This window comes from Homo sapiens, chromosome 20 (assembly GCF_000001405.40).
Source record: "Homo sapiens chromosome 20, GRCh38.p14 Primary Assembly".
Taxonomy (NCBI): Eukaryota; Metazoa; Chordata; class Mammalia; order Primates; family Hominidae; genus Homo; species Homo sapiens.
The window spans coordinates 957,300-983,276 of record NC_000020.11 but is presented as its reverse complement, the minus strand read 5'-3'; the positions used below and the strand labels follow the sequence as shown (position 1 = coordinate 983,276).

Here is a 25,977-nt window from a genome sequence, read left to right as displayed (position 1 = left end):
CTGCCACCCCTTGGAAGCTCCAGGTGCTCTGCCAAAGGTCATACAATGAGTCTGAGTCCAAGGTGGGACAGGAGCAAAGGTCCTAATTCCTAGCCCTGAGCTCTGTTGATTGCAGGACTTCACAAAAAAGTGAAGAAGGTCGTTTGCAGAACAAACTTCAAAACCTGGTACCTTTCTCACTCGGGCTCATCTTAGGAATCAACGAGCTTTCAGCTCCCCTTAGAAGGTTTCCTCCCACCCTTCCTGGAATCCTGGAGCTCACATCCTCCCCAGAGGAGGCCTCCTGGGTTTGTAGCGGTGGGCGTTGCCCCCAATCCCTGTGACACTGAGCATCCTGATTGGCTGGAGGTGTCCTGCCACTGCAGACGTCCTACTCAGCCAAAGCTGAAGCTTCCACAGCCTCCCAAAGAGCCACGAGAGGCCTCTGCTACCATCAAGAGCCCTGAGGAATCATAAACCCCCGACAAGAGGGAGAGGGAATTAGCAGCCAGCATTTATTGTCCCCAGTATTGCTGGGCACGTCATACACAGGCCTCAGGGCACTTTACAACAACCAAAGTAGGCTCAGAGAGGATGCGAGAGGCAACAGACCTACCCGAGGTCACATCAGACCAGCCCACTACGGGACAAAGCCAGCACCTGAAAGAACCAGAACCTGTCTGAGTCTACTTTGCAGCCCTGAGGAGACATTCGGCAAGTACTCACTGAGCACCTACTGGGTGCCGGGCGCTGTTATTACAGGAGCAGCAGCCAAGCACAGTGCCTGTCAGCAACTTTTTCAAAGTCACCCACACAGCAAACCTGTCCCTCATACATGAAAAGAAAAGAAACTCTTCTCCAGTAGTTTTTCAAATGAGTGGCAACTGCATATGCTTGACAACTTCATGGCAGTTTTACCTATAGGACAATTGCATGACAATTTCTTATACAAGGTCACATACTTGACAACATTGTGACACCTTCACACACAAGACAGTTTTGTAACAACTCCACGGACAGATTGGTTGGTAACAGTTTCATGCTCAGGACAGCTTTGTGACAGTTCTGTGTTCCTGGCTAACAGGGCACTAGCTCTGGGCAGGTGGGTCTGGAGAAGCCAGCTGGAGGGTAGACTCTCTGCCCCGGTCCCGAACTCATCTGGCTGCTCTACCCCCAGCACAGCTTGCCGAATGATGAGGAATCCAAAAACAACCCTTTTTTCTTTAATATGATTTTTCTGAAGGTCACCAGTGGTTGCTCTGGGCTGCTCAGCACCCCCAGGGCTCCCACCAGAAACACAAATGTAACTTCTCTTAATGAGTAGCTAATGGAGGGCAGAATAGATGTGGTCCAGGGCAGGTCCAGGAGAATGGGGAAGCAGAGATTTGGTTGATGTGGGGTGGGAAGTGGGGGATGCCAGGCACCAGCAGCCTGTTCTCACTGTGTCAACCCCTGATTTGGGCCCCAGCCGAGCCCTGCAGGACCAGCATAGGGCAGGGGCTCAGGCCTTCTCTATGCTTTAATGTGGGGACAGGCAGATCCTTTAGACAGGGGTCTCGTGTGTCGGCACATACCTGCCCCTGTCCCCCAAACACACACATGTCGGGCACACATGAACCCAGCCCTTCCTTTTTCTGCCATGCTGGGCCTGGCAGGGACTGTCCCCAACTCAGGCTGCTTGGGGAAATGCCCCTCCTATGAGTGGCGAAAGGAGTCAGGTTGCCCATTTGATATTTTATTTTTATTTTATTTTATTTTATATCTTATCTTTTTTGAGACAGCGTCTCACTCTGTCGCCCAGGCTGGAGTGCAGTGGTGCAATCTTGGCTCATGCAACCTCCGCATCCTGGATTCAAGCGTTTCTCATGCCTCAGCCACCTGAGTAGCTGGGATTACAGGTGTGCACCACCACGCCCAGCTGATTTTTGTATTTTTAGTAGAGACGGGGTTTTGCCATGTTGGCCAGGCTGGTCTCGAACTCCGGGCCTCCTATGATCTACCTGCCTCAGCCTCCCTAAGTGCTGGGATTACAGGCGTGAGCCACTGTGCCTGGCCAGGTTGCCCCTTTTGAGTATCACTCCCATTTTCCCGCTCCACGTTCATCATCAGACCAACAGGGTAAGGCAGTGTGACACAGTAGAATGAGTCTGGGGTTTCATCAGCTGTGGGTTTAAATCTAATGCCACCACCTATAATTGTTGGTCTTTGAGCCTTCACTTCCTGAACCGTAAAATGAGGAATGATAACAGCATCTCCCGCCTCGCTTCTTAAAGTGAGTTCTCGGGCCAGCACCTCTGGCCCCATTCCAGAACTTTAGCATCAAAATCTACATTTTAACCCAAGATCCCTGAGTTAAATCCCTTTGTGTGCATATTACAGTTTGGGAAGCCCTGGCTGATCTCACAGGACAGTTTTTGAAGATCTCTGAGTTCATGCACGTACAACCCTGGGCACACCATAAACGTTAAAACAACCGCATGTGTCGAGAGGCGACAGCACCTCTTGTTTTTAATAAGCAGCCTCAGGTGATTCTGATGGGGATTGAAATCTGAGATCACCACTGGCCATGAAATCAACAAATGTGAGTTTGAACCCCGGTTTTACCACCACCCTCTCCACCCCTGCAACCAGCCCATATAGGTCAACGTCTAAAAAGGATTCTGGCCAGAATGTCCAGCAGAGGCTGCAACTTAGCAGGTAATTTTTCTTCATCCTCCCCAAGTCCCAGCTGCGAGGCAGGAGACTCACTCCTGGAGAATTTGAGAGACGGAGTGGGCATTTCACCCCTTGATTGAACACACACCTATTGATCTGCTCACTCTCTACTGGGGGTGAGGGGAGGATGGATGAGGAATGCAGAGGGGGCATGTTCAGTCCTGGGGCAGCCTGCACTGCCACCATTTGGCCAATTTCCTGTCTCAGGTGAGGTCAAGCGGACACCGAAGAAGGCCTCAGCACAGCACTGGGAACTTAGCAAGGCGTCAGTAGGTAAGGGACTCTGCATGGAGGACTGAGGAGGCGCACAGGGATATGTTGAGTAGCCAGGCTGCAGTGTGGCAACCTGAGGATAACCCTCAGGTTCAGAGTCACACTGCCTGGGTTTGAATATCTGCTCCACTTATTAAGTGACCTCGGGCAAGCAGCATCATTGCTCTGAACCTCAGTTTCCTCCTTTCTGAAATGGGTGTGATAATAGCACCTAAATGAGTTTTGCAGCCCCTCTATGCGGAATGGTAAGCAGCTATAAAACAAAGAATTGGTTAAGTGAGAAGGCAGGTGCTGCATAAGTGAGAAGGTCCAGTGTGCCGTGGCTCATCCCTGCCTTCCTGGAACTCATCTTTCACTGGTGGGAAAGAGACAACAGCACTTGCCAAATTTAGAACCTATCAGGTGGGAATAAATGGCATGAAGAACATAGCGACGTGGGAGAGGAATAGGGTGTAGGTGTGGTGCTGCTGCAGGCAAGAGGTCTGGGGGCATCACAGGGAAGGGGTGTTCTGTGAAAGGGCCGTATACATAAAGCGACCCCAAATGCAGAAGGAGCTGGGAAACCAAAGAATGAGGCAGCCAATTCCAATTTGTTGGTAAAGGGTTATTAGTTGGGGAACTTTTGAACAGAGCAAGATTTGGGCAGCCTCAAGATAGGTAGATCTCCAAGCTGTAACTCTCCAGACCCAGGGCTTACATATCTTGGGGAGAAAGGTCTGCGTGCTCTGGGAGGAGTGCACAGGTGACTGACATTGTGCTATGGGTGTCATAGCCTATGCTTCCTGCAGCAGCATCAAGGTTTGTTTTGGAGGAAAAGTGAAACCCGCAGCAAATAAGTGTTTCTACGTAGAGAGTAATGCTTCAGCTAGACATCTTGGAGGCATTACTGGACTCAGGGTTAGTCAGGAGTTGACGTGGCAAATTAGTATCTAAGAAGGAATCACTCTTGTCCCCACAAGGAGACATTTGAGGGAGGGAGCCTTGCGGGTGAATGTGGGAAGGGCATTCCAGACAAAAGGAAGAGCAAGTGCAAAGGTCCTGTGGTGGGAGTGGTCTTGGCAGATGGGGAACATGGAGGATGAGGCCAGCATGGCCAGGGAAGGTGAGTGGTGGGGAAACAGGGCAGGAGCAGGGAACGGGGTAGGGACAGGAAAGGTGGAGAAATTATTCCCAGACATATTTCAGAAGTGGAACTGACCGGATTCCTGATGGGCCAATAGTAGGATATGAGGGAGAGAGAAGAGACAAGGATGCCGCTGAAGTCTTTGGCCCTGAGTGGAGTAGCCATTGACTGAAATGGACAGGAGAAGCAGGTTTGGAGGGCAAAGGATGAAAAGTTTCCATTTTGGATGTGTGCCTATTCTTACTGTATTTTGAGGGTCTTATCCATTAGCCCCTTAGGTGTCCTGTATTGGCACCTTAGCGGGGATTTGCCATCTGCTCCTTGCTCAAGCCCCTCCCTTTCTACCAAATGAGTACAATATCATCTTGTACTCACCTCTCTTAGAAACCTTTCTTCCATCTACACAAACTAGTCCTGCTCCTGGCCTCAGCTTCTGTCCCCACATCTGCCTCCCTAGAAAACCACCCCTGATGTCTCCAGTCTCTGGACTTTCACTCCCACCTTGCCTGGGTCCTTCACTTGTCTCTGAGCCCTGCTGGGCAGAGGTCATCAGCTTTCTCCACATTCGTATGGGCCTGGTCCTCCCAAATAGGCTGTGAGCCCCCTGAGAGCAGTTTTTGAGAACCTTTATTGAGCCACCGTTCATGCATTCATTTAAGAAATAATGAATGGGCATAATGGGTATAATCACAAATGGGTAGTCAGTGGGCACCTACAATGTGCAGGGCCGTGGGGATTTAAAGGTGAGCAAGCCAAGCTGGGCCCAGCCCTCAAAGGAGCATCTCTCATGAATCAAGTAGTAATGGAGTGCTCATTCATCTGCCGTGAGCTGTGCTAAGCACTTTGCGCAGATGAGTTCATGGCATCCCCACAACTGCCTGGGAGGTGGTTGCTACTATCGTCCCCATTTTACAGAAGAGAAGACCAAGGCTCAGAACAGTAAAGCCACTTGCCCAATATCACCCAGCTAGGAAGTGGTGGTTTGTCAGGCCCCAAAGCCAAGGCAACCTCAACATTCTGCTGAATGTTCTGCCCTGCTGGTCCCCCCACCTCCTGAGTGCTGAGAAGGGTCCAGTGGGCTAGCGACCTCTAGCCCTGATCCCAGGGAGTCTCTAAGCTGGGAGTCATCTCCAGGGCCCACCCCCTTGCTAGAGATGGTGCAATCTACCCCTAGGCAGAAATGTGCTGGGGGATCTTCTGAGCAAGCCTCCAGCAGTGGCGACTGCCTCCCATATGTGGAGGCCTGAGTGGGCAGGCGGGTGCCCAGATGTTTTTTATTTCCCTTGGTCATCGGTGACATGCGTCCTGCACTGCCAGGCGGGCATCGGAGGATGCGCTGCCCAGCACTGTCTGTGTAGGGCCCTCCTGCATGGTTCTGGGTCCTCCCCAAGGACAGAGCAGGGACCTCAGCAGGGGCAGTGGTGTCTTTCTCTCTTTCCCCATCCTTCTTAGCCCTGGGGAGTCCTCCAGGACAGCTGTATTAAATCCTTAGTTCACCATGACATGATGTTCTCATGCAAGACACACTTCCCAGGGCACACCCCAATTATGAAGAAACTCTACCCCCAAAAATGTTGGCATCAAAACCAAAAACTCTGCACTGATTGTCAAAGCAGTTCCAGGATCACAAATGCCAACACAGGCAGGGCAGGTGGTGATAATAATGGTAGTAACAGTGATGTCATGGAGACCCGCTTGACTGTCAGCCCTGCCAGGCCCCCACAGCACACCTGTGAGGTCAGCCAGGAGGATTCTTGTTTTACAGATGAGAAAACTGAAGCACAGTGAGGTTAAGGCACTGGGTCAAGGTCACATGGCAAAGGTAAGGGGCAGAGCTGAAATTTCAATCCAACCAGTCTGGCTCTTAACCCTGTTCCACACTAGTAGTTCTCAAAGTGTGGGCCCAGGACCAGCAAAGGTCAGCATCACCTGGGAACCTGTTAGCAATGCGGATTCTCAGGCCCTGCCCAGACCTAATGAATCAGCAACTCTAGGGTAAGGCCCAGCAGCCTGTGTTTTTAACAGGCTCTCTAGGTGAATCTGATGCATGCCCAAGTTTGAGAACCCCTGCTCTACATTGTTTTCTATTGTGAGTGAGTGAAGTGGGTGTTAAGATGTAGCTCAAGGATGATAACATAGGGCAGCTGACCTTTTCCCTCAGTATCTGAAATACAATAGGGAGGGGTAGGGTCTGCAGTAACCTGGGGAACATATGCCTTATTTATGTAACTCTAACCACTCACTGCCCTGTGACAGCAGACCCAGTGTTGGTAGATGTTCTGACTTTTTCCAGAGAAGTTCAAATTCCAGCTTTTTAATGTGAAATCTCTTGATTTTTTAAATGCTAGAAATCTATCCAAATTAGTCTTGTTTTTTTTAAAAAAAATGTATGGGGCTAGGCTTTCTGGCTTGGGTATTAAGGAAATTTCAATGACAGATTCACTGGGCTACTGAGGAGACGAGCTTGCCTAGGAGAACATGACATTTTCAGCGTCCCAGATGTCACCCTGCATTTTTGACCCCTCAGGGAAGTTCTGCAGAGTGAAGGCAGATGGAAGGCATGATATGGCAGAGATGACCCTAAGTTCACTCAAAACCCTGAAATGGAAAAAAAAAATACAGCGATCACTTGCACATGTTGAGCCGTTGACTCCTGTTGAAACAAGGTGCTTGGGGCAGTTCTCAGGATGTGGGTGAACCTGAGCTTAGGGACCCTTATTTGAAGGGCACAGGTTATTCCCTATTCCCAAAAGAAGGAATAAGCCTGCCCTTCACCTAGGACCAAAGCTGCTGGCTAGTATCTCTGCCCTGAGCACTTCACCATCCAGAGGGCAAAAGACCATGTCCCTGGACCCTGCTGGCCTCCTTCCAGCCTCACCAACATCTCTGGCTTTTGTTTGCTCACCTGGGAAAGAGGACAAGGGTCCAGATGTTGGTTGACAGTCCCACTGTGTGTCATGATGGTGAGGGAACAGGGAGGGAACCTAGGTTTACAGAGGAGCACCTACTGTGTGCCAGTGCTTGCTGGTTTGCACATCCCTCATAACAAATCACGTGGAGGTAGGAATTGCTGCCACAATTTTTCAGATGGGGAAACTGAGGCCCACAGAGACGAGGGATCTCATTCAATGAGTGATGGGGCCAGGATATCAACCTGGGAACCTGCATTGTTACACGTCTTTAGATTTTTAAGTCCCTTGAGGGCAGAAAACACATCATTCTCAATATAATAATGGTAGCTTCAGTTTATCAGATGCCTGCTGCAGGTGGTCTGAGCTAACAGTTTTTCACGTACCATCTCCTTTAATCACAACAGCCCTGCAAGATAAGCATTATTATCCCCATTTACAGCTGGAAAAACTGAGGCTTGTAGAGGTAAAGTACCTTGCCCAAGGTCACACAACTGCCCCAAAGCTCATAACCATTGAGTCCTAGCACTGGACCTTACCCAGAATAGGGGCTCAGTAATTGTTGAATGAATGGGTCGATGAATGAATGAATGGATCACTCAACCCTGGGTTAATGCACGCATTCAGAGTTGTCATAAGCCTTTATCACTTTGCAAACTGTCAAATCTGGTGTGTTTGATTCCACTCTCATTCTCCATAAAATGGACATCCAAATCTGGACTCATCCCTCGGGTGCTTGGGGAAACATGGAGTGACTCAGATTTCATTCTAAGCCTCTCCAGCTGCTGGAGCAACACAGGGCCATGCTTTTGTGGCCTACTGGTGTTTTGACTGAGGGAGGATGGTCTTGATTATGGGAGACAGTTGTTAATGGAAGTTACATGGGGTGCCTGCCATCCACTGTGATGGCCCAAGAAAACTTGGGGAGGTTGCAACTAGAGCTTGAATGCTTTTAAAATGTGCATCTCAGCTGGGAGAGGACAGCGACAGAGGCCAAGATGTGTAGAAGGACCCAGGGGGTTTCAAAGTGTGCTCCCTGGAACCTCAGTGTCCCCTGGAGCACCAGGGTGATCAGGTTGGATAGGTGGTGCTCCAGGTTCCTCATCCGCGCCAAAGCAGCGCTGCTCCACCGTGATCTGTTCGCTGTCTAGTGAGCTACATCCATTTTTATTGTAATTTGACAGAAGAAAACCAGCTCAAGTGAAAAAGTCACTGGATTTGGAGCTATGGGACAAGCCAAGCTTTGGGAAGGACTGGGAGGCAGTCAGAAATTTTTTCTGTCTCAAGGAGCCCGTGAGGTTCTGGTTGCTGCTTCTCTCTCTGCATCTGATTTATTTTTCTCTCTCTACTTCTGTATTAGTCGGGAATCATCTGGTTGCAAGTGACAGAAAACCTAACTCAATGTGACCTGAGAAAAAAAGAGAATTTATGGATCCCCAGGGTGGATCCACATGCACAGATGACTCTTTTTGGTCTTTGTCTGTGTCTCTTGGCTCTGTTTCTGCTGTATGGCCTCCATTCTCCAGAGGCTCTTCCCTCATGTGGCACCCACCAGCTCTGATCTATATCCTCCTAGATCCAAAGAGAGGAAAGGAAAACACACACATCTCCACACACATCCATTGACCTCAGCAAAAACCCCAAGACTAGCTCTTGTGGGGATGTGAGCCTGTGTCTGAACCTACAACCACTGTAGTCAAGGGGACCTGATGCTCTGATTGGCCAAGCCCAGGTTAAGTGCATCTGGGTGGATATGGCAGCACACGAACCTCAATGCCAGAGAGTGCAGAGGAGCAGAGCCTCTGTTAGCTAGTGCCCACCAAGGCTTCTCACACATGTGCATTGGAACAGGCTACCCTCCCACCTGCAGATCGCCTTAGGTCAAGGCCAGCGCAGACCATTGTCCATCAGCCCAGAGAGAGATGGTCTAATTGGCCCATCCTGGAAGAGACAGCCATTGGTTAGGGTCAGAGTCATGCCCTACAAACAGGATTACTGGGGCCAGTTCTCAGGGAAAGGAAACTGTGAACAGGGAAGACACTTCCAAAATTCTGTTACATTTATTTTGGACTTGTTAAAGTGCACATTCCTGGCCCACAGCAGACGCTTTACAAGCCTCTCTGGAGATTGTTATCACAGTCAAGTTTAAGAACCTTCAAGTTTGGATCTTTCTAGAGCAGCACTCTACAGACTCTTGTCATCACTGATGATTCACAGAATGAACATTCAAGCGCCTGCACCCGTGACTTTAGGGCAGGGGGTAGAGAGAGGCAGTAGCACTGCTTTTTCTAATGAGTTACAGAGACATGACGAAACACCAGACAGGCTACCGGAAGTCAAAAAGCAAGAGGTGCCATTACAACATAGAGGCACAAGAGGGCATCCTAGCCAACTGCCAGGGTCGAGGATGAGGCCAGAAACAGCCACTACCCTTCAAAGACCAGGGTATTGACCTTCAAAGACCAGGGTATTGAAGGATGCTAAGCACCATCCAGTGGGCCAGCACTCTATGAGGCCTGGGAGGGGCTTGTTGGGTTCTTTGGCCTTCAGCATATACTGTAGCTTTTTGAGGTCAGGAGGTCGAGACCAGCCTGGCCAACATGGCGAAACCCCGTCTCTACTAAAAATACAAAAAAATTTAGCTAGGCTTGGTGGGGGTGCCTGTAATCCCAGCTGCTCGGGAGACTGAGGCACGAGAATCGTTTGAACCTGGGAGACGGAGTTTGCAGTGAGCTGAGATCGCACCACTACACTCCAGTCTGGGCAACAGAGTGAGGCTCCATCTCAAAAACAAACAAACAAACAAACAAACAAACAATAAAACAAACAAAAAACAAATAGTGCTATAACTCTAACTGAGGACTGAGGCTTCTTTGCAGTTGGCTGCCTGACTTTGGGGAAAGCTCCACCCCTTCTGGCCTCAGTGTCCCCAGTGAAACTGCAGGAGTTGTGCTGAGTGACCTCTAAGCTCTTCTAAGAGTGGTAAGAGCTTTGCTTTGTCTCCATCTTGACCCCTTATCTCATCCTGCTTTGCTGTCACTTCTGTGGGCTTCAATTCCTCCCACCAGGCTGTTTGTCCTATAGGGGTAGGGGCCATGCGTGGCTCACCCCCATGGCCCCAGGCTCTGCCTGACACAGGAGGCCCTGGACAGATGCTCTAAGAGGGCAGCGTGGGGCAGAGTGATGTGGGTCCACCCCTGCCAATTCTGTGTGACCCTGGACATGTCGTTTCACCTCCTTGATTCTCGGTTTTTCTCAGCTGCAAAATGGGCAGCAACGCCATGTCAGGGTGTGAGTCTGTGTCCACAGATTCGTTTTTCAGGAAATGCTACTTTGTTTTTCTGTAATTTAAATTAATTTGTAATTTGAAGTCCTATTCTGCCAGGTGATAAAGATCACCACAAGTCAACTGAGGGTCCCCTTGCTCTTTGGTAGTGGGGTCGCCTCTCAGGCCCAGTGGGCTTACACAGCGCCAAGGCACAGCGCAGGGCAACTTGGTCTCCACTGATATGACTCTGTGCTGCCTTGCATGGCGGAAAACCCGACATCATCAGTCAATGTGTGCGTCAGAAAGGCCCAGTGACCTAAACAAGATGGGCAATGCTTTCCTCCCTTCCCCAGGAAAGAATCTCGGCGGTGGGCAGCCCTGGGTTAATACAGCCACGCCAAGCTGTCTTTCTATAAGATCCCTCTGCCTCCTGGATCTGCCATGGCTCCACTCTTAAGCCTGCACTCCTGCAGGCATAAGGGAAAATGGGAGGAGAACAGTGCCAGCGTTTCCTAAGGGGCTGTACAGGGCATGCCCGCTCATATCCCATTGGTCAGGGCATAAGCACATGACCACATATAGCTGCAAAGGGCCTGGGAAATATAGTCTTAGAGGACATAAACTCCGCTTAATATCAGGGTTCCAGCCGGGCGCTGTGGCTCAGGCCTGTAATCCCAGCACTTTGGGAGTCTGAGACAGGAGGATTGCTTGAGCCCAGGAGTTTTAGACCGGCCTGGGAAACATGGTGAAACCATTTCTCTACAAAAAAATACACAGATTAGCTGGGCATGGTGGTGCACGCCTGTAGTCCTAGCTACTAGGGAGGCTGAGGAGGGAGGATTGCTTGAGCCCGGGAAGTCTAGGCTGCAGTGAGCCAAGGTCGTGCCACTGCACTTCAGCCTGGGGGGCAGAGCAAGACCTTGCCTCAAAAAATAAAATAAAAATCAGGATTCCACTACTGAGGATGAGGGGAGAGTGGACGAGGGGCAAAGTGTGCAGAGGCACGAGTCTCCACTGCTCTTGGAACCCGGGTCCCACGTCTTCAGAATTTGTCACCTTCCCCTGCTCAAGACCTCAGCTTGAGGATGGGACAGGGCTTGGGAGGGGAGCTAGTGGAGAAGGAGAAGAAAGAATGTAGGCCTCCTCCTGCCCCAGGACACAGTAGAGGCTAAATTCTTTTGTTCTTTATGCATTTTTAGGGTGAACTATTTCAAACCTACAGTCAAGAATTTAAAATAATATAATAAACATTTGTGTGCCATGATCCTGAATTCAGTGTTGGTTAGTCCCATGTCTTCTGCTCTGAATGCATATTTACAAGTCACAAATGCTACAAAATATTGCTTTGCAGGTCCTTGAACTTTATATAAATGGCTCTTACTATATGATTCATCGTGCACCTTGCTTTTTTCCTCTCAGCCCCGTCTTTGAGCTGTGCCCACAATGATAACTGTAGCTACCTCAGTCATTTATCATGGCTGGGTTGTGTATGTGGTATCTGGCTGTGGTGTATGAATATACCACAATGTATTTATCTATTCCTTTGGCAGAGGGTTAGCTTTTTGCAGTTGTTTGCTATTAAATAATGCTGCAATAAATATCTTTGTCTCTTTCTACACATATACAAGGGTTTCTCTAGGTCAGTGTTTCTGAGAGCATGGTCCCTGGACCAGCAGCATCAGCATCACCTGGGAACCTGTTAGAAATACAAATTCTCAGACCTACTGAATCAGACGTACCAGGGGTGGAACCCAGGGACCTATATTCTAACAAGCTCTCTAGGAGCTGCTGTTGTGCGCCAGAGTTTGAGAACTGCCGCTCTAGGGTATATACCAGAAGCTAAATTGTTACATTTAGAAGAGACATCAGGCCAGTCGTGGTGGCTCATGCCTATAATCCCAACACTTTGGGACCCTGAGGCAGGAAGATCACTTGAGGCCAGAGTTCAAGACCAGCCTGGGAAACAGAGAGAGACCATCTGTACAAAAGTTTTTAAAAAATTATCTTGGTGTGGTGGGACATGCCTGTAGTCCCAGCTACTTAGGAGGCTGAGGCAGGAGGATTGCTTGAGCCCAGGAATTTGAGGCTGCAGTGAGCTTAGGATCATGCCACTGCACTGGAGCCTGGGTGACAGAGCAAGATCCTGTCTTAACAAAACAAAACAAACAAAAAAACTTTTTAACACAAAAAGAAAAGAGACATCTCCAAATTTATTAGGTACTGCTAGATTTTTCCCCGAAGTTTACACTCCTATCTAAGGTGAAAAAGCGAAGGTTTCCTCTCATTCTTGCCAGCTCTGGGTAGTATCAGAATCTGAATCTTTTGCTGAGTGAGAAGTCCGGACTCTGCTAAATTCTCAGTGGATGTTCTTATTTCTCTGGCTCTGGGAATCTCCCTTACAACATCACACTTGCTCTCTGCCCTCAGATCCCTGCCAGGTATACAGCTCCAGAGGCACAAAAATCTTTATTCTGCTCTCCTGTTGCAGTTTCTTATCCCAGGGCAAGAAAATTGAGGGCAATGCCAACTTTGCTTGGGAACAGCATCCCAGGGTACACTTTAGTTACTGTGTGCTTCCGTACGACCCTGGATCAGTAAGCCTCCTGAGTTATAAGCAACAGAAAGAGGGTTATCAGCAGGATGTGGGGCCTCACCGAATCTAAGGAACAGAAGGTGAGGACTGGGGAAGTAGCAGTACTCATCCGAGAGCTGGAGCAGGGAGGAAGGAACAGAGGGACTGAGGGATGGAAGGGAGAGAGAAAGGCCTCAGCCAGGGCTGGGCAGAGAGCCTGCCCTGCCTCCACCATGAACCCCATTTCTGTGTGACCCTCACTCTTGTGTCCCACTCCCAGGACTGGAGTCACCAGAATGTGTATCTGACCGGGCTTTCGTTAGCTCTCACCTGCTGCCAACTTAAAGGAGGGCCAGAACTCTTTTGGTTTCTGTTCCAGGGGGAAGGTGCCAGGATGTGTTTCATCAGGACCTTGCACAATGGGGAATTCCTCTAAAAGGGAGATGGGGCACCAATAGGAAGAGGGGAGCATCTGAGAGCTGGAGAGCCAAGAATGTTTCCTGCCGGGTGGTCTTGGGGCTCAGGTGAATCAAGGTGTATAACCGGATTATTAACCAGTCTGACCCTAATGACATATAAACATGAAACCATTTACTGTTTCCCCAATTGCTGCCTCTCAAAAGCTGCCCTATCCTTTCCTGTCACTTAGTGACACCTGGTCATTTTCTGACTCTCCCCCACCTCCTACTCCCAGTGGTCTCCCCTGCTGCCTCTTACTGCTGGGGCACCTCCCAGCAACCAGCCTTCTTGTGCCAGGCAGCAGGAATACCACCTAAGCCTGGCTGCTCCCAAGGTGCCCCTTACCACTGAGAACTCCCTCACACGTGCCGGGAAGGATGTGCAGGCTCTTCTATCACACTCTTCCCCTCAGCTCTGCCCTTCTGTCTCCTGGTCTCCTTTCTCTGTTCAAAGAGGAATGGGAAGGGGGCAGATTCGCAGGGCTATGGACATGAGTTTATGTCCAAGCAGGGCATGAGATGCTGGCACCTTCTTGCAGGCACCCCCTGTCTTTGTGAGTTTCTCTGGCATCTCCTCACTTCGTTGGCAGGGTTGGGAACAGAGGAAAAGTCACAGCACCACAACTCACTTCCCTAGGCTGTCCACTTCTTTTTATTTTCTTCTTTATTGGAAACATGGCTTCACTCTGTCTCTCCGACTGGAGTACAGTGGCACAAACACAGCTCACTGCAGCCTTCCCCGCTCAGGCGATCCTCCCACCTTAGCCTCCCAAGTAGCTGGGACTACAGGTGTGTGCCACCATACCCGGCTAATTTTTGTATTTTTTGTAGAGACAGGGCCTCGCCATATTGTCCAGGCTGGTCTCAAACTCCTGGACTCAAGCAATTCTCCCATCTTGGCCTCCCAAAATGCTGGGATGACAGGCATGAGCCACTGTGCCTGGCCAGGCTGACAATCCCTAACTCCCATGAGTCCCTCCCTGCAAGTGTTCAGCTTAATCAGGGTCCTGGGGTGATGGTCAGGGTAACAGAGACTCCTTATGAGCCTGGGAGAGGCTCACTTAAGATTCTAGAGCATTTTCCACCTCTTTTTTCCCCAGCTTTGGCTCCTGGGTGCCAATTCTGGGGTAACAAAAAATTTTCTCCTTAAAAAAATTTCTCCCATTGCTATTCCTGATGATGGTGGGAGCCCTTGCTGATGGTGACAGTGAGAAATGGAGTATTGCTGAGTATTGTTCAGGAACCCAGCAGGAGGGTGAGGGTCTCACCCCACCCCACTCATCATGTGCACCCACACACACTCAAAAATTCACATTACTTTGGTAAAGATTAAGTTTGCTTGTGAGTGATGGAAAACTTCAAATAACAGTGATTTAAGCAAGATAGATGTTGATTTCTCTCTCATGTAACAGTCTACACAGGCAGGCTAGAGCTGGTACAGCAGTTCTGCCTTCCTCAGGCACCCAGGTGCTTTTTATCTGATTTTTCCACCGCCTCACGGGACATAGTTTCCACCTCATGATCTGAAATGGCTGCTTGTGCTCCAGCCATCGTTCACATTCCACCCAACAGAAAGGATGAGGGGACGACAAGGGGCACACCCCTGCCCTTTAAGGCAGCTTTCTTGAAGTGTCACATGCTGCTTTACCTTACATCTGATTGGCCAGATGTTGGTCACATGACCATATCTAGTTGTAAGGGAAGGTGGGAAATGTAGTCTTTTGTTTGGGTGGCCATGTGCCCAGTTACTATCCCAATGAGACCATCTCAGCTGCTCGCATATATGGTTTGACCATCTCTCTCTCCCTTTCCCCCTCCTTCTGCCCTGGTCTTGTGGGCAGTGGGCACTGGCCTGGGGGGCAACTGCACAGGCTGTATCATCTGCTCAGAGGAGAACGGCTGTTCCACCTGCCAGCAGAGGCTCTTCCTGTTCATCCGCCGGGAAGGCATCCGCCAGTACGGCAAGTGCCTGCACGACTGTCCCCCTGGGTACTTCGGCATCCGCGGCCAGGAGGTCAACAGGTGCAAAAGTACGTGGCTTCTCCCTTGTTCTATGCTAGTGCTGGGCTCCTAGACACCATGGGCTTAGATCCCACCCTTTCACCCCAGCACAGACAGAGGGGAAGTAGGTGCATGTCTAAGCCCAGACTCTGAGATACCTGCCTGTGTCCAGGCTGACTCCGCAGCCCGAGGCAAGTCAGTCCGCTCTCAGCCTTAATTAGCACTAATAGAACAGGCAACTTTCACTTCTACCCTAGTTTGTGGTGTGGCCTTAGGCATGTAACTCACCTTCTCTGGTCTTAGCTCAAATAGGAAAAGGAGTCCTAATTCCAAGCTCTAATTTTTGCTGTAACTTTGGGCAAATTATCACTATTTCTGAGGTGAAAAAGAAGCAGGGAGTCCTCACTCCAGCCCTGGTTTGCGGGTGACTTCAAGCAAGTCACTCGCTCTCTCTGAGCCTCCCCTCAAATGAGAAAGGGAGTGTTCTCTTCACATGCAGCCCAGTTTGACCTTGGCCAAGTCTGGGCTTCAAAGGAGACACTGAGTCCTGACCCAAATGCTACCAAGCCTGGAGCTACCCAGAGGGCCTTCCACCTCGGGCAGACCCAGTGGGCCCCATCCTTGGCAGTCTCCCTCACCTGGGGTGTCCCTGGCTCTATTACAGAATGTGGGGCCACTTGTGAGAGCTGCTTCAGCCAGGACTTCTGCATCCGGTGCAAGAGGCAGTTTTACTTGTACAAGGGGAAGTGTCTGCCCACCTGCCCGCCGGGCACTTTGGCCCACCAGAACACACGGGAGTGCCAGGGTGAGTGGGGACCTCCCCGCCCTGCCCCTGCCCCTCCCCTCTCCCTGGAGCGGGGGCTTGGTGAGAGATGTTAGGGGCCCTGGAAGAAATTACAGTAGAATGCCATATGGTGAGGGAAGGCCCAGCACCACCATGTCAGGTACACTGGGTACCTCCACATAGTAACTGCAAAACACTAGAGCCAACATAACCGCCATTACTATGATTACTACTACAACCAACACTGGCATTGTTATTAATGCCAAGGGAATCAGCAGAGTGCAGAAGAAGAGCGCTGATGTTTATTTGTTTGTTTGTTTGCTTGTTTGCTTGTTTTGTTTGAGATAGGGTCTCACTCTGTTGCCCAGCTGGAGTGCAGTGGCATGATCATAGCTCACTGCAGCCTCAAACTCCTAGGCTCAGAGAATCCTCCCGCCTCAGCCTCCCGAGTAACTGGGACCACAGGCATGTACCACAACAGCTGGCTATGCGTTTATGTTTTTGTAAAGACAGGCTCTTGCTATGTTGCCCAGGCTGCCCCTGGGCTCAAGCGGTCTTCCCACCTCAGCCTCCCAAAGCATTGGGAGTATAGGTATGAGCCACCACACCTGGCTGAGCACTGATTTTGGAATAGGACAGGCCTGGGGTCCAATCCTAGCTCTAAACCTTACCCTTTAGTGATCTTAAGCAAACCACCTCAGCTCTCTGTCCTTCGGTTTCTCCAAACGTTAGAAAAAAAAAAAGACAATAGAACATAGAGCCTACCTCATGGGGAGGAATTGTTATGAGGATAAAGTGAATTAGTACAATTTAAAGTGCTCAGTACAGCAGCCAGCACACAGTAGATGCTCAGTACGTGTCAGTATCAGTGTTATTACTGCTCTGATTATTTCCTAACAGCTCCTTGTCACACTCCTGCCTGTGAGCCCTCCCGTTCCTGCACTAGGCTGCTCCTTGGCATTCTCATCTACACTGTGCCTCTCTGCCCACGCATTCCCTCCGGGCTCACATTCATGGTCATTCCAGCTGCTGATGGCCCCTGACTCCGTGTCTCCAGCCTCCCTGAGCAGCTGATCCTCACCTCCACTGCCCTCTGGGTGCCTTCTTTCCACTCCCACTGCCACCATCCCCCACCTAACGCTCCCTCTGGGTTTCCTCTGGGTTTCAATAACCAGCTCCCTGATCCCTGGGTGGCATGCGCGAGATGCAGACATCGCTGTTGACTCTTCTCTCTCCCTCACCCTATATTCAATCCAATCTGTTCATTTATTCACTCTGAAAATATCTACTAGAGCATCTGCTATGGCCAGGCACTTTCCTAGGTGCTGGAGACACATTACAGAACAAAACAGACAAAGCCTCTGCACTCAAGGACATGACATTTCAGTGGAGAGACAGAAGCGACACCTGAGAACAAATGCATAATATTTTGGGTGGTAGGAAGAACTTTGGGGTGAAAATGAAGCAGCACGAAGCTCCCAAACCCACACCATTCAGCTCATCCCTTTCTCCCCACCCATTTGTTTCTGTCCTCTGTGCCGCCCTCTTCCCACCCTCTTGCCACCCCCTGCCTATCGCCAGGGTTCTGGCCACAGCTCCTGCCCGTCTCCCGCCTTGGTTCTCAGTCCCTCCAGCCCAGTCTCCACTCAACAGCAGAGGGAGTATTTCACAATGATAGTCTGCTCAATTTCTTTTCCTCCCAGGACCCTTCAGTGGCTCCCACTGCCCTTGGGCGGAGCCCACCCAGGCCCTGGGCAATCTGTCCCATCTGCCAGCCTTTCCACCCCCATCATTTTTTTCCTCCTCAGTTTGAGCTTATTCTCCGGCTTGCCCAGTTCCAGGCCAAATCATCCTGGGGACTCTGCTGGGGTTATGCCCTCACTTGGAGCACCTCCCGTCCCTCCCTGAGCCTGGCTAGGCTCCCCTTCCCCGCCATCCCACCCCCACTTCAAGACCCAGTCCAGGGGTTTCCTCCCCTACAACCCAACCCATGCTGCTTCTGGGCTCCCACGGTGCCTGCACTTCCCTCATCACGGCGGTGTCCAGATGGTGAATTCCAGGAGGCCTGCAGACCCTGGGCTGTCTTGTCTGCTGCTGCTCCCTCAGCACCCAGAATAGCACCTGGCATACACTGGGTGCTCAGTCTTTACTTGTCAAATGTGTGTATCTAGCAAGGTCTGGGTCCCACTGTGTCTTGAGCTTGCTGTGTCTGCTGTGTGAGCCTCTTGCTGCGTTCCCTTAGCAAACCTCTGCTCTAGGTCTCAGTGTCCAAATCTACAAAATAGGAGTATTCATAGCTACCCATATTCTGTGCCTACTTCTCATGGACTTTTAAAATAATCAAAGTATATATATATATATATGTGTGTGTGTGTGTGTGTGTGTGTGTATGTGTGTATATATGTGTATATATATATGTGTGTGTGTGTGTATATATATGTGTATATATATGTGTGTGTGTGTATATATATGTGTATATATATATGTGTGTGTGTGTGTATATATATATATACATGTATATATGTATTTTTATTACCCCCTATGAAGAACTTTTATGTCCATGGCCTCCTTTTTCTTCCTTCCAAAGTTGATCAAAGACACATGATCAAGTTTAAAACCTGTGTCCTGGTCCTGAGGGCTTCCCAGGCAACCTTCCAGCCTCCTCTCCTGTCCCCGCCTTCCTGAGACTTGACTCCCAACTCAGGCTGCCCCATCTCCCAAACATGGTGGGCCGGGCTCCCAAGGCTTTGCACACCTGCCTGGAATGGGCTTCCTTCTTCTCACCTGACGAGCTCCCCTCTCTCCCTTTAACTCATACATCACCTCCTCCAGGAAGCCTTTCCTTTAAAGCTAGACAGTCGGCCGCTCTGGCTTCAGGCCCATATTAGTCTGTGCATGCATTCGTTTCGCTCTCATTCCAGGCTCTTATAAATAACTCTGCTCCTAGCAGGTGGAAGTGGTGTCTTCAGTCTTCAGAGGACTGAACCCCTCAAACCCTGCCCTTGGATCTGAAGGACCCTCACTGCCGGCTGACCCTGTCTGTCTGTCTGTCTGTCTCTCCTTTCACCCCACAGGGGAGTGTGAACTGGGTCCCTGGGGCGGCTGGAGCCCCTGCACACACAATGGAAAGACCTGCGGCTCGGCTTGGGGCCTGGAGAGCCGGGTACGAGAGGCTGGCCGGGCTGGGCATGAGGAGGCAGCCACCTGCCAGGTGCTTTCTGAGTCAAGGAAATGTCCCATCCAGAGGCCCTGCCCAGGAGGTGAGCCCCAGGACAGGCACACGAGGCTGCGGTGGGAAAGGCCCACAGGGACAGGGCGGACTCAGATCACTGCCCCACAAATAGTATCTATGAGACTGCCTGAAAGGCCACCATTAGCCATACTATCATGTGGAGTACACATCACCTTCCCTGGTGTCCTTTCAAAGGAGGGCCTTCCTTGCTGGGTTCAGTCCCAAATACATTAGGAAAATTGAGCTGGCCAGGAGTTCCCAACCCTCTCAAACTGAACACCCCCCTTTTAATAAGAAGGATTTGGGAATACCCTCTTTATCATTCTTAATGAAGTTCATGGAGAATGTGGCCTACTTGCAAAGGTAATTTTTTTTTATCAGTATAGTGTCCTAACTGTAATATAGAGGAGAAAGAAAAGAAATTTCTTGATGGAAGCGCTTGGCCCAACATACCAACAGACACTTAGGGAAGTACAATCCCAGTGAGGACCGCGGCCGTGGTCAGCGCCCCAAGTACGTGGCCACATCGCCATCAGAGATGCGATTTCCCAACAGTGACCAATGATTAGTAAGGTCCAACCCAATTGATCTCTGATTGACACCACACTCACAGTGCCCTAGAATCTTCAGTGAATGGAAGTGTTCGAAACCAATTGGTATTCATGAGTCAAACAGAATTCAGCTCCCAGCAAGCAGACTTTTCAGCTACGTGAGGGTGGGGCACGATGTGAGAGAACTGGATGGAACAGGGGGACAGCTCGTCTTTGCGGGGGACTGTCCCACGCTGGATCCCGATTGCCGTCCACTGAATGCCACAGGAACCCCCTTCACTGTGCCATTCAAGACCACTACACGTATTTCCAAAATGTTTCTGGGGGCTATGAAGGACCACTGATTTACATAGAAGAGAGGCCACAGGGTGTGCTTGGTAAGATGTGAACGGTGAGTAGTATTGGCAGTGTTGACTGGGCACTGTGCCGAATTCTCTATAATCGTTAACTCATGTAATCTTCGCAGTGATGCTATGCGGTAGGTGTTATTAGCACTATCCCCATTTTACAGATGAGGGGACTGAGGCCCAGAAAGGTTGAGTCACTCACCTAAGGGTCACAAAGCCAGGGAGCTGTAGACCTAGAATTCAAACGTAACTCGTCATGCAAAGAGGAATCTAAAGTCATGATGAAGGATGAGGGACCTGGAACCAGGCCACCCGGGGCACCCAGCTGGGACATAGTGGAGCCAGGATTTGAACTCAGGGACACTCCTCTTTCAGAAGGACTTGTGCTATTTGGGTTGGGAGTGCAGCTAGCAGAGATAGGAGCCTTTGGGAGTCATGTTGGGCAGGTGAGGACAGAGTGAGGTTGAGGTGGAACCAGAGAACCTAAGAGACCCCAGAGCCAGAGCAGGACTCACACAGGAGGCAGACAGTTCTTCTGCACTCATTACCACATGGCACCTCTCATGGCTCCAAGAGCTGGGGGTGAATGGCTGTTGGGGAATCATGAGGGGAAAGCTTTTCCCCTGGATAATAATAATCACAATAACTGCAAACATTCATAAAGCATCTACCATGTGCTGGCTGTGCTTAGTGCTGTGAAACATGACTCTAATCCTCGCAACAACCCCGCTGTAGCTCCCTGCATCACCCAGGTCTTGGCTGCAGTGGCTCCTCCTCAGAGAGGCTTCCCAGGAGTCCCCCTCCCCGGAGTCATTTTCCATCATATCACATGGTAGCACTTGCACCCTTCTGAAATGAGCCTTCTCATTCTCGTGTTTGCTTGTTCAGCGTCTGTTTTCCTTACTGGAGTGTGATCTCCAGTGACGGCAAGGGCTTTATCTGCCTTGTTCACAGCTGTCTCTCTAGTGCCTCTAACACAGTCTGGCACATAGTCGGTATCCAGTTAATATTTGTTGGATGAGTGGATGGATGGCTGAATGCACAGGTGGGTGAGTGGGTAGGTAGATGGGTGGATAGGAGGGTAGATGGGAGGGTAGGTGGGTGGATGAGTAGGTAGGTGGATGATTAGGTGGGTGGGTAGGTAGGTAGATAGGTGAACAGGTGGATGGATAGGTGATGGGTGGGTGCCTAGGTGGATGGATGGGTCATTGGGTATGGAGGTGGGTGAGTAGATGGGTGAATAGGTGGGTGAGTGTGTAGGTGGGTAAATAGGTGGAGGGATGGGTGGGTGACTGGATGGGTACATGAGCAGCTGGCAGGCAGGCCTAGGGAAGGGGTAGGGACACAAAGCCACTGGCCCCCACACCCCCACATCAGAGCCGGCAGGGCCACTCAGGCAGCACCCACACCCCATCTCCAGATGCTGTCCTACCTGAGGCCTGCACAGTCAGCTCTGCAGCTCAGAGTGGGAGTTGGCCTCAGTGCTCCCCAAGAGCTCAGAGTGGGCGTGGGGAGCCCCAGAGGTGGGTAGCCTGGTCTTAGCTCCTTGACTCTGCTCTGCAGAGGAAGGAGCCAGGACTGGAGCCACAGCCCTGACTCTTGGGGAGACGGGCACATAGTTGACACCCAAGGAATAAAACTGCCCTCCCCTTGCCACTAGGCTCAGAGGGTCTCTAACAGCCTCGCTGCGCACCTTCAGAAAGTGACTCATGGAGCCTCAGGTTCATCGTGTTCAAATGGACACACAGCTCCTTGCGGGGAACTGAATGGGGCCCAAGCAATGTAGGAGAATGTCCTGGGTGTGGAGACACTTTGTAAAGCAGAAACTTAGGGCTGGCCTTGCTCCCAACCATGCTGTGGTCTTCTCACCTGTCCATAACAATGACAGGCAACTGCTCAGAAGAACTCCCTGGGCAGCGGGCACAGCCAGAGTGGAGGTGGAAGGAATAAAGGAAATAAAGAAGAAAAAGAAAGGAAAGGTAGCCTGGCACAGAAAAATGATAGAAGGGTGGAGAGAAAGAGAGGACAATTGGAGAAGACGGGACTGGGTGTGGCTCAGACCCTACCTGCCTCTCTCGGCTGTTGTGAGTTTCGTATACATAAAGCACTTGGGGCTGTGGCCTGCATACAGTGAGCGCTTGCTAAATGCTGAAGTATTGTTGCCACAGTGTTATGCAGAAGTTGGTGCAGGGACACAGATGAAAGGTGTCCAGCGTCCAGCACAGAGCCTGCTCAGCTATGGAAGGAGTGTGCCGGGGAAAGCCATGGGGACTCCCATGAGGCCACCCGACATGCTGATTGGGGGGCCCCAGGTGAACCTGCAGGCCTGGCCGAGCCAGATGTCCAGCACAAGAAGGCCCTGAACAAGTTAGTGGCCCTCGCCACTCCCTGAAGACCTAGAGAGAAAGGTTCAGTTTGGGGTACCTTAGCCCACGGTCCAAACTCTCAACAGGAGGGACTGCAAGGTCAGTGCCCAAATGTTCTGAGCCCCGTTGTTGGGGAGTGGGTGGGGCACCCTTGTCTTTCAGGACTGAGGAGGCTCCCAGGACCTAACTGGCCCTGCAGCCTTGGTCACCGGGCTCTGTCCTCTCATTGCAGAGAGGAGCCCCGGCCAGAAGAAGGGCAGGAAGGACCGGCGCCCACGCAAGGACAGGAAGCTGGACCGCAGGCTGGACGTGAGGCCGCGCCAGCCCGGCCTGCAGCCCTGACCGCCGGCTCTCCCGACTCTCTGGTCCTAGTCCTCGGCCCCTGCACACCTCCTCCTGCTCCTTCTCCTCCTCTCCTCTTACTCTTTCTCCTCTGTCTTCTCCATTTGTCCTCTCTTTCTTTCCACCCTTCTATCATTTTTCTGTCAGTCTACCTTCCCTTTCTTTTTCTTTTTTATTTCCTTTATTTCTTCCACCTCCATTCTCCTCTCCTTTCTCCCTCCCTCCTTCCCTTCCTTCCTCTTCTTTCTCACTTATCTTTTATCTTTCCTTTTCTTTCTTCCTGTGTTTCTTCCTGTCCTTCACCGCATCCTTCTCTCTCTCCCTCCTCTTGTCTCCCTCTCACACACACTTTAAGAGGGACCATGAGCCTGTGCCCTCCCCTGCAGCTTTCTCTATCTACAACTTAAAGAAAGCAAACATCTTTTCCCAGGCCTTTCCCTGACCCCATCTTTGCAGAGAAAGGGTTTCCAGAGGGCAAAGCTGGGACACAGCACAGGTGAATCCTGAAGGCCCTGCTTCTGCTCTGGGGGAGGCTCCAGGACCCTGAGCTGTGAGCACCTGGTTCTCTGGACAGTCCCCAGAGGCCATTTCCACAGCCTTCAGCCACCAGCCACCCCGAGGAGCTGGCTGGACAAGGCTCCAGGGCTTCCAGAGGCCTGGCTTGGACACCTCCCCCAGCTGGCCGTGGAGGGTCACAACCTGGCCTCTGGGTGGGCAGCCAGCCCTGGAGGGCATCCTCTGCAAGCTGCCTGCCACCCTCATCGGCACTCCCCCACAGGCCTCCCTCTCATGGGTTCCATGCCCCTTTTTCCCAAGCCGGATCAGGTGAGCTGTCACTGCTGGGGGATCCACCTGCCCAGCCCAGAAGAGGCCACTGAAACGGAAAGGAAAGCTGAGATTATCCAGCAGCTCTGTTCCCCACCTCAGCGCTTCCTGCCCATGTGGGGAAACAGGTCTGAGAAGGAAGGGGCTTGCCCAGGGTCACACAGGAAGCCTTCAGGCTCTGCTTCTGCCTGATGGCTCTGCTCAGCACATTCACGGTGGAGAGGAGAATTTGGGGGTCACTTGAGGGGGGAAATGTAGGGAATTGTGGGTGGGGAGCAAGGGAAGATCCGTGCACTCGTCCACACCCACCACCACACTCGCTGACACCCACCCCCACACGCTGACACCCACCCCCACACTTGCCCACACCCATCACCGCACTCGCCCACACCCACCACCACACTGCCCCACACCCACCACCACACTCCCCCACACCCACCACCACACTCGCCCACACCCACCACCAGTGACTTGAGCATCTGTGCTTCGCTGTGACGCCCCTCGCCCTAGGCAGGAACGACGCTGGGAGGAGTCTCCAGGTCAGACCCAGCTTGGAAGCAAGTCTGTCCTCACTGCCTATCCTTCTGCCATCATAACACCCCCTTCCTGCTCTGCTCCCCGGAATCCTCAGAAACGGGATTTGTATTTGCCGTGACTGGTTGGCCTGAACACGTAGGGCTCCGTGACTGGGACAGGAATGGGCAGGAGAAGCAAGAGTCGGAGCTCCAAGGGGCCCAGGGGTGGCCTGGGGAAGGAAGATGGTCAGCAGGCTGGGGGAGAGGCTCTAGGTGATGAAATATTACATTCCCGACCCCAAGAGAGCACCCACCCTCAGACCTGCCCTCCACCTGGCAGCTGGGGAGCCCTGGCCTGAACCCCCCCCTCCCAGCAGGCCCACCCTCTCTCTGACTTCCCTGCTCTCACCTCCCCGAGAACAGCTAGAGCCCCCTCCTCCGCCTGGCCAGGCCACCAGCTTCTCTTCTGCAAACGTTTGTGCCTCTGAAATGCTCCGTTGTTATTGTTTCAAGACCCTAACTTTTTTTTAAAACTTTCTTAATAAAGGGAAAAGAAACTTGTAAATGCTTCTTGAGCATCAAGAGGGTGTTGCAAAACCATGATACTGCTGAGTTTGGAGTAGCAGAATTTAAAACATGTGGAGTGGTTTTCACAGGAATGCTTGGGGCTGAGAGGGGTCAGAGTGTATTGGGGATTGGGGTGGGGTTTCAGCTTGGGGGGAGCTGATAAAAGAGGAGGGGCCCTCAGCCCCTCCAGGCTACTCTCAAGAAGCAGACTCAGCCAGAGGCAGAAGAGGGTGACACCTCGATCCCCAGAACCTCGCAGTTTCACGAACCAGATGTCTCAGGGACCAGGGGTACCTAGGAGGTTGACAGTCCCACGGGGCCATCTAAACACCCTGGGCTGCTGGTGAGAGTGGCCTTGGCATTGGGAGGCACAGGTGGGAGCTCCAGCCTGTCACCAGCTATCTGATGGGGTCCAGGTCAAGTCACTTCCCCTTCCGGGGCCTCAGTTTTCCCATGTGATGAATGTGATGAAGAGGAAGCCTGGCTAAATTAAATCTATTGCCGAAATCTGGAAGACCCAACAACAGAATCCCCTGGGGAGCCTTTTAGAAATTCAGGTTTTGGGGCCCTCCCCCAGATCTATTCATTGCAAACAAGTTTAGGAGCAGGCAGTGAGAGCAAACATTCTTTCCAGGACAAGCTGAGGGGAGAGGTGGCTCTCAGATGACTTCCAGCTCAGAGGGCTGAGTCTAGATTTGCAGCTGCAATTCTGATTCTGACCTCAAGGCTCAATGATCTGATTCTACAGAGTTTAGTCTGTATGTGTGTGTGTATGTGTGTGTATCTTTTTAATTTTTTTTTTTTTTTGGCAGGGTCTTGATCTGTCACCCAGGTTGGAGTGCAGTGGTACGATCACAACTCACTGCAGCCTCAAACTCCTGGCCTCAAGCAATCCTCTTGCCTCAGCCTCCCAAGTAGCTGGGACTACAGGTGTACACCACCACACCCAGCTAATTTTTTATTTTTTGTAGAGATGGGGGTCTCAATATGTTACCCAGGCTAGTTTTGAACTCCTGGCCTCAAATGATCCTCCCACCTCAGCCTCCCAAAGTGCTGGGATTACAGGCATGAGCCACTGTACCCAGCCCCTATATAAATAAATATATATATAAATATATATATATATACACACACACACACACACACACAT

General features: G+C 51.2%; 1 protein-coding gene across 3 annotated transcripts in view, besides 1 other annotated feature; it reads left to right on the top strand.

Annotated features, from left to right (window-relative positions):
• RSPO4 (R-spondin 4) overlaps window positions 1-24,825 on the top strand; it is a 43,860-nt gene extending 19,035 nt beyond the window's left edge. Inside the window, exons 2-5 of one of the 3 annotated variants that reach the window (NM_001029871.4) lie at window positions 15,139-15,327; window positions 15,963-16,103; window positions 19,157-19,342; window positions 22,811-24,825. In NM_001029871.4, the coding sequence (NP_001025042.2) occupies window positions 15,139-15,327; window positions 15,963-16,103; window positions 19,157-19,342; window positions 22,811-22,920 (626 nt within the window). In that variant the 3' untranslated portion in view covers window positions 22,921-24,825. Of the gene's footprint in view, window positions 1-15,138; window positions 15,328-15,962; window positions 16,104-19,156; window positions 21,287-22,810 lie in introns of those variants that run through there. The other 2 variants (NM_001040007.3, XM_017027839.2) reach the window with 2 other exon arrangements.
• Window positions 10,676-11,393: an enhancer, noted in NCBI's record as "H3K27ac hESC enhancer chr20:952527-953244 (GRCh37/hg19 assembly coordinates)". NCBI's record gives its function as "activates a minimal SCP1, AML or CMV promoter by ChIP-STARR-seq in primed H9 embryonic stem cells {active_cell/tissue: H9 hESC(primed)}" and the evidence as "EXISTENCE:reporter gene assay evidence [ECO:0000049][PMID:30033119]".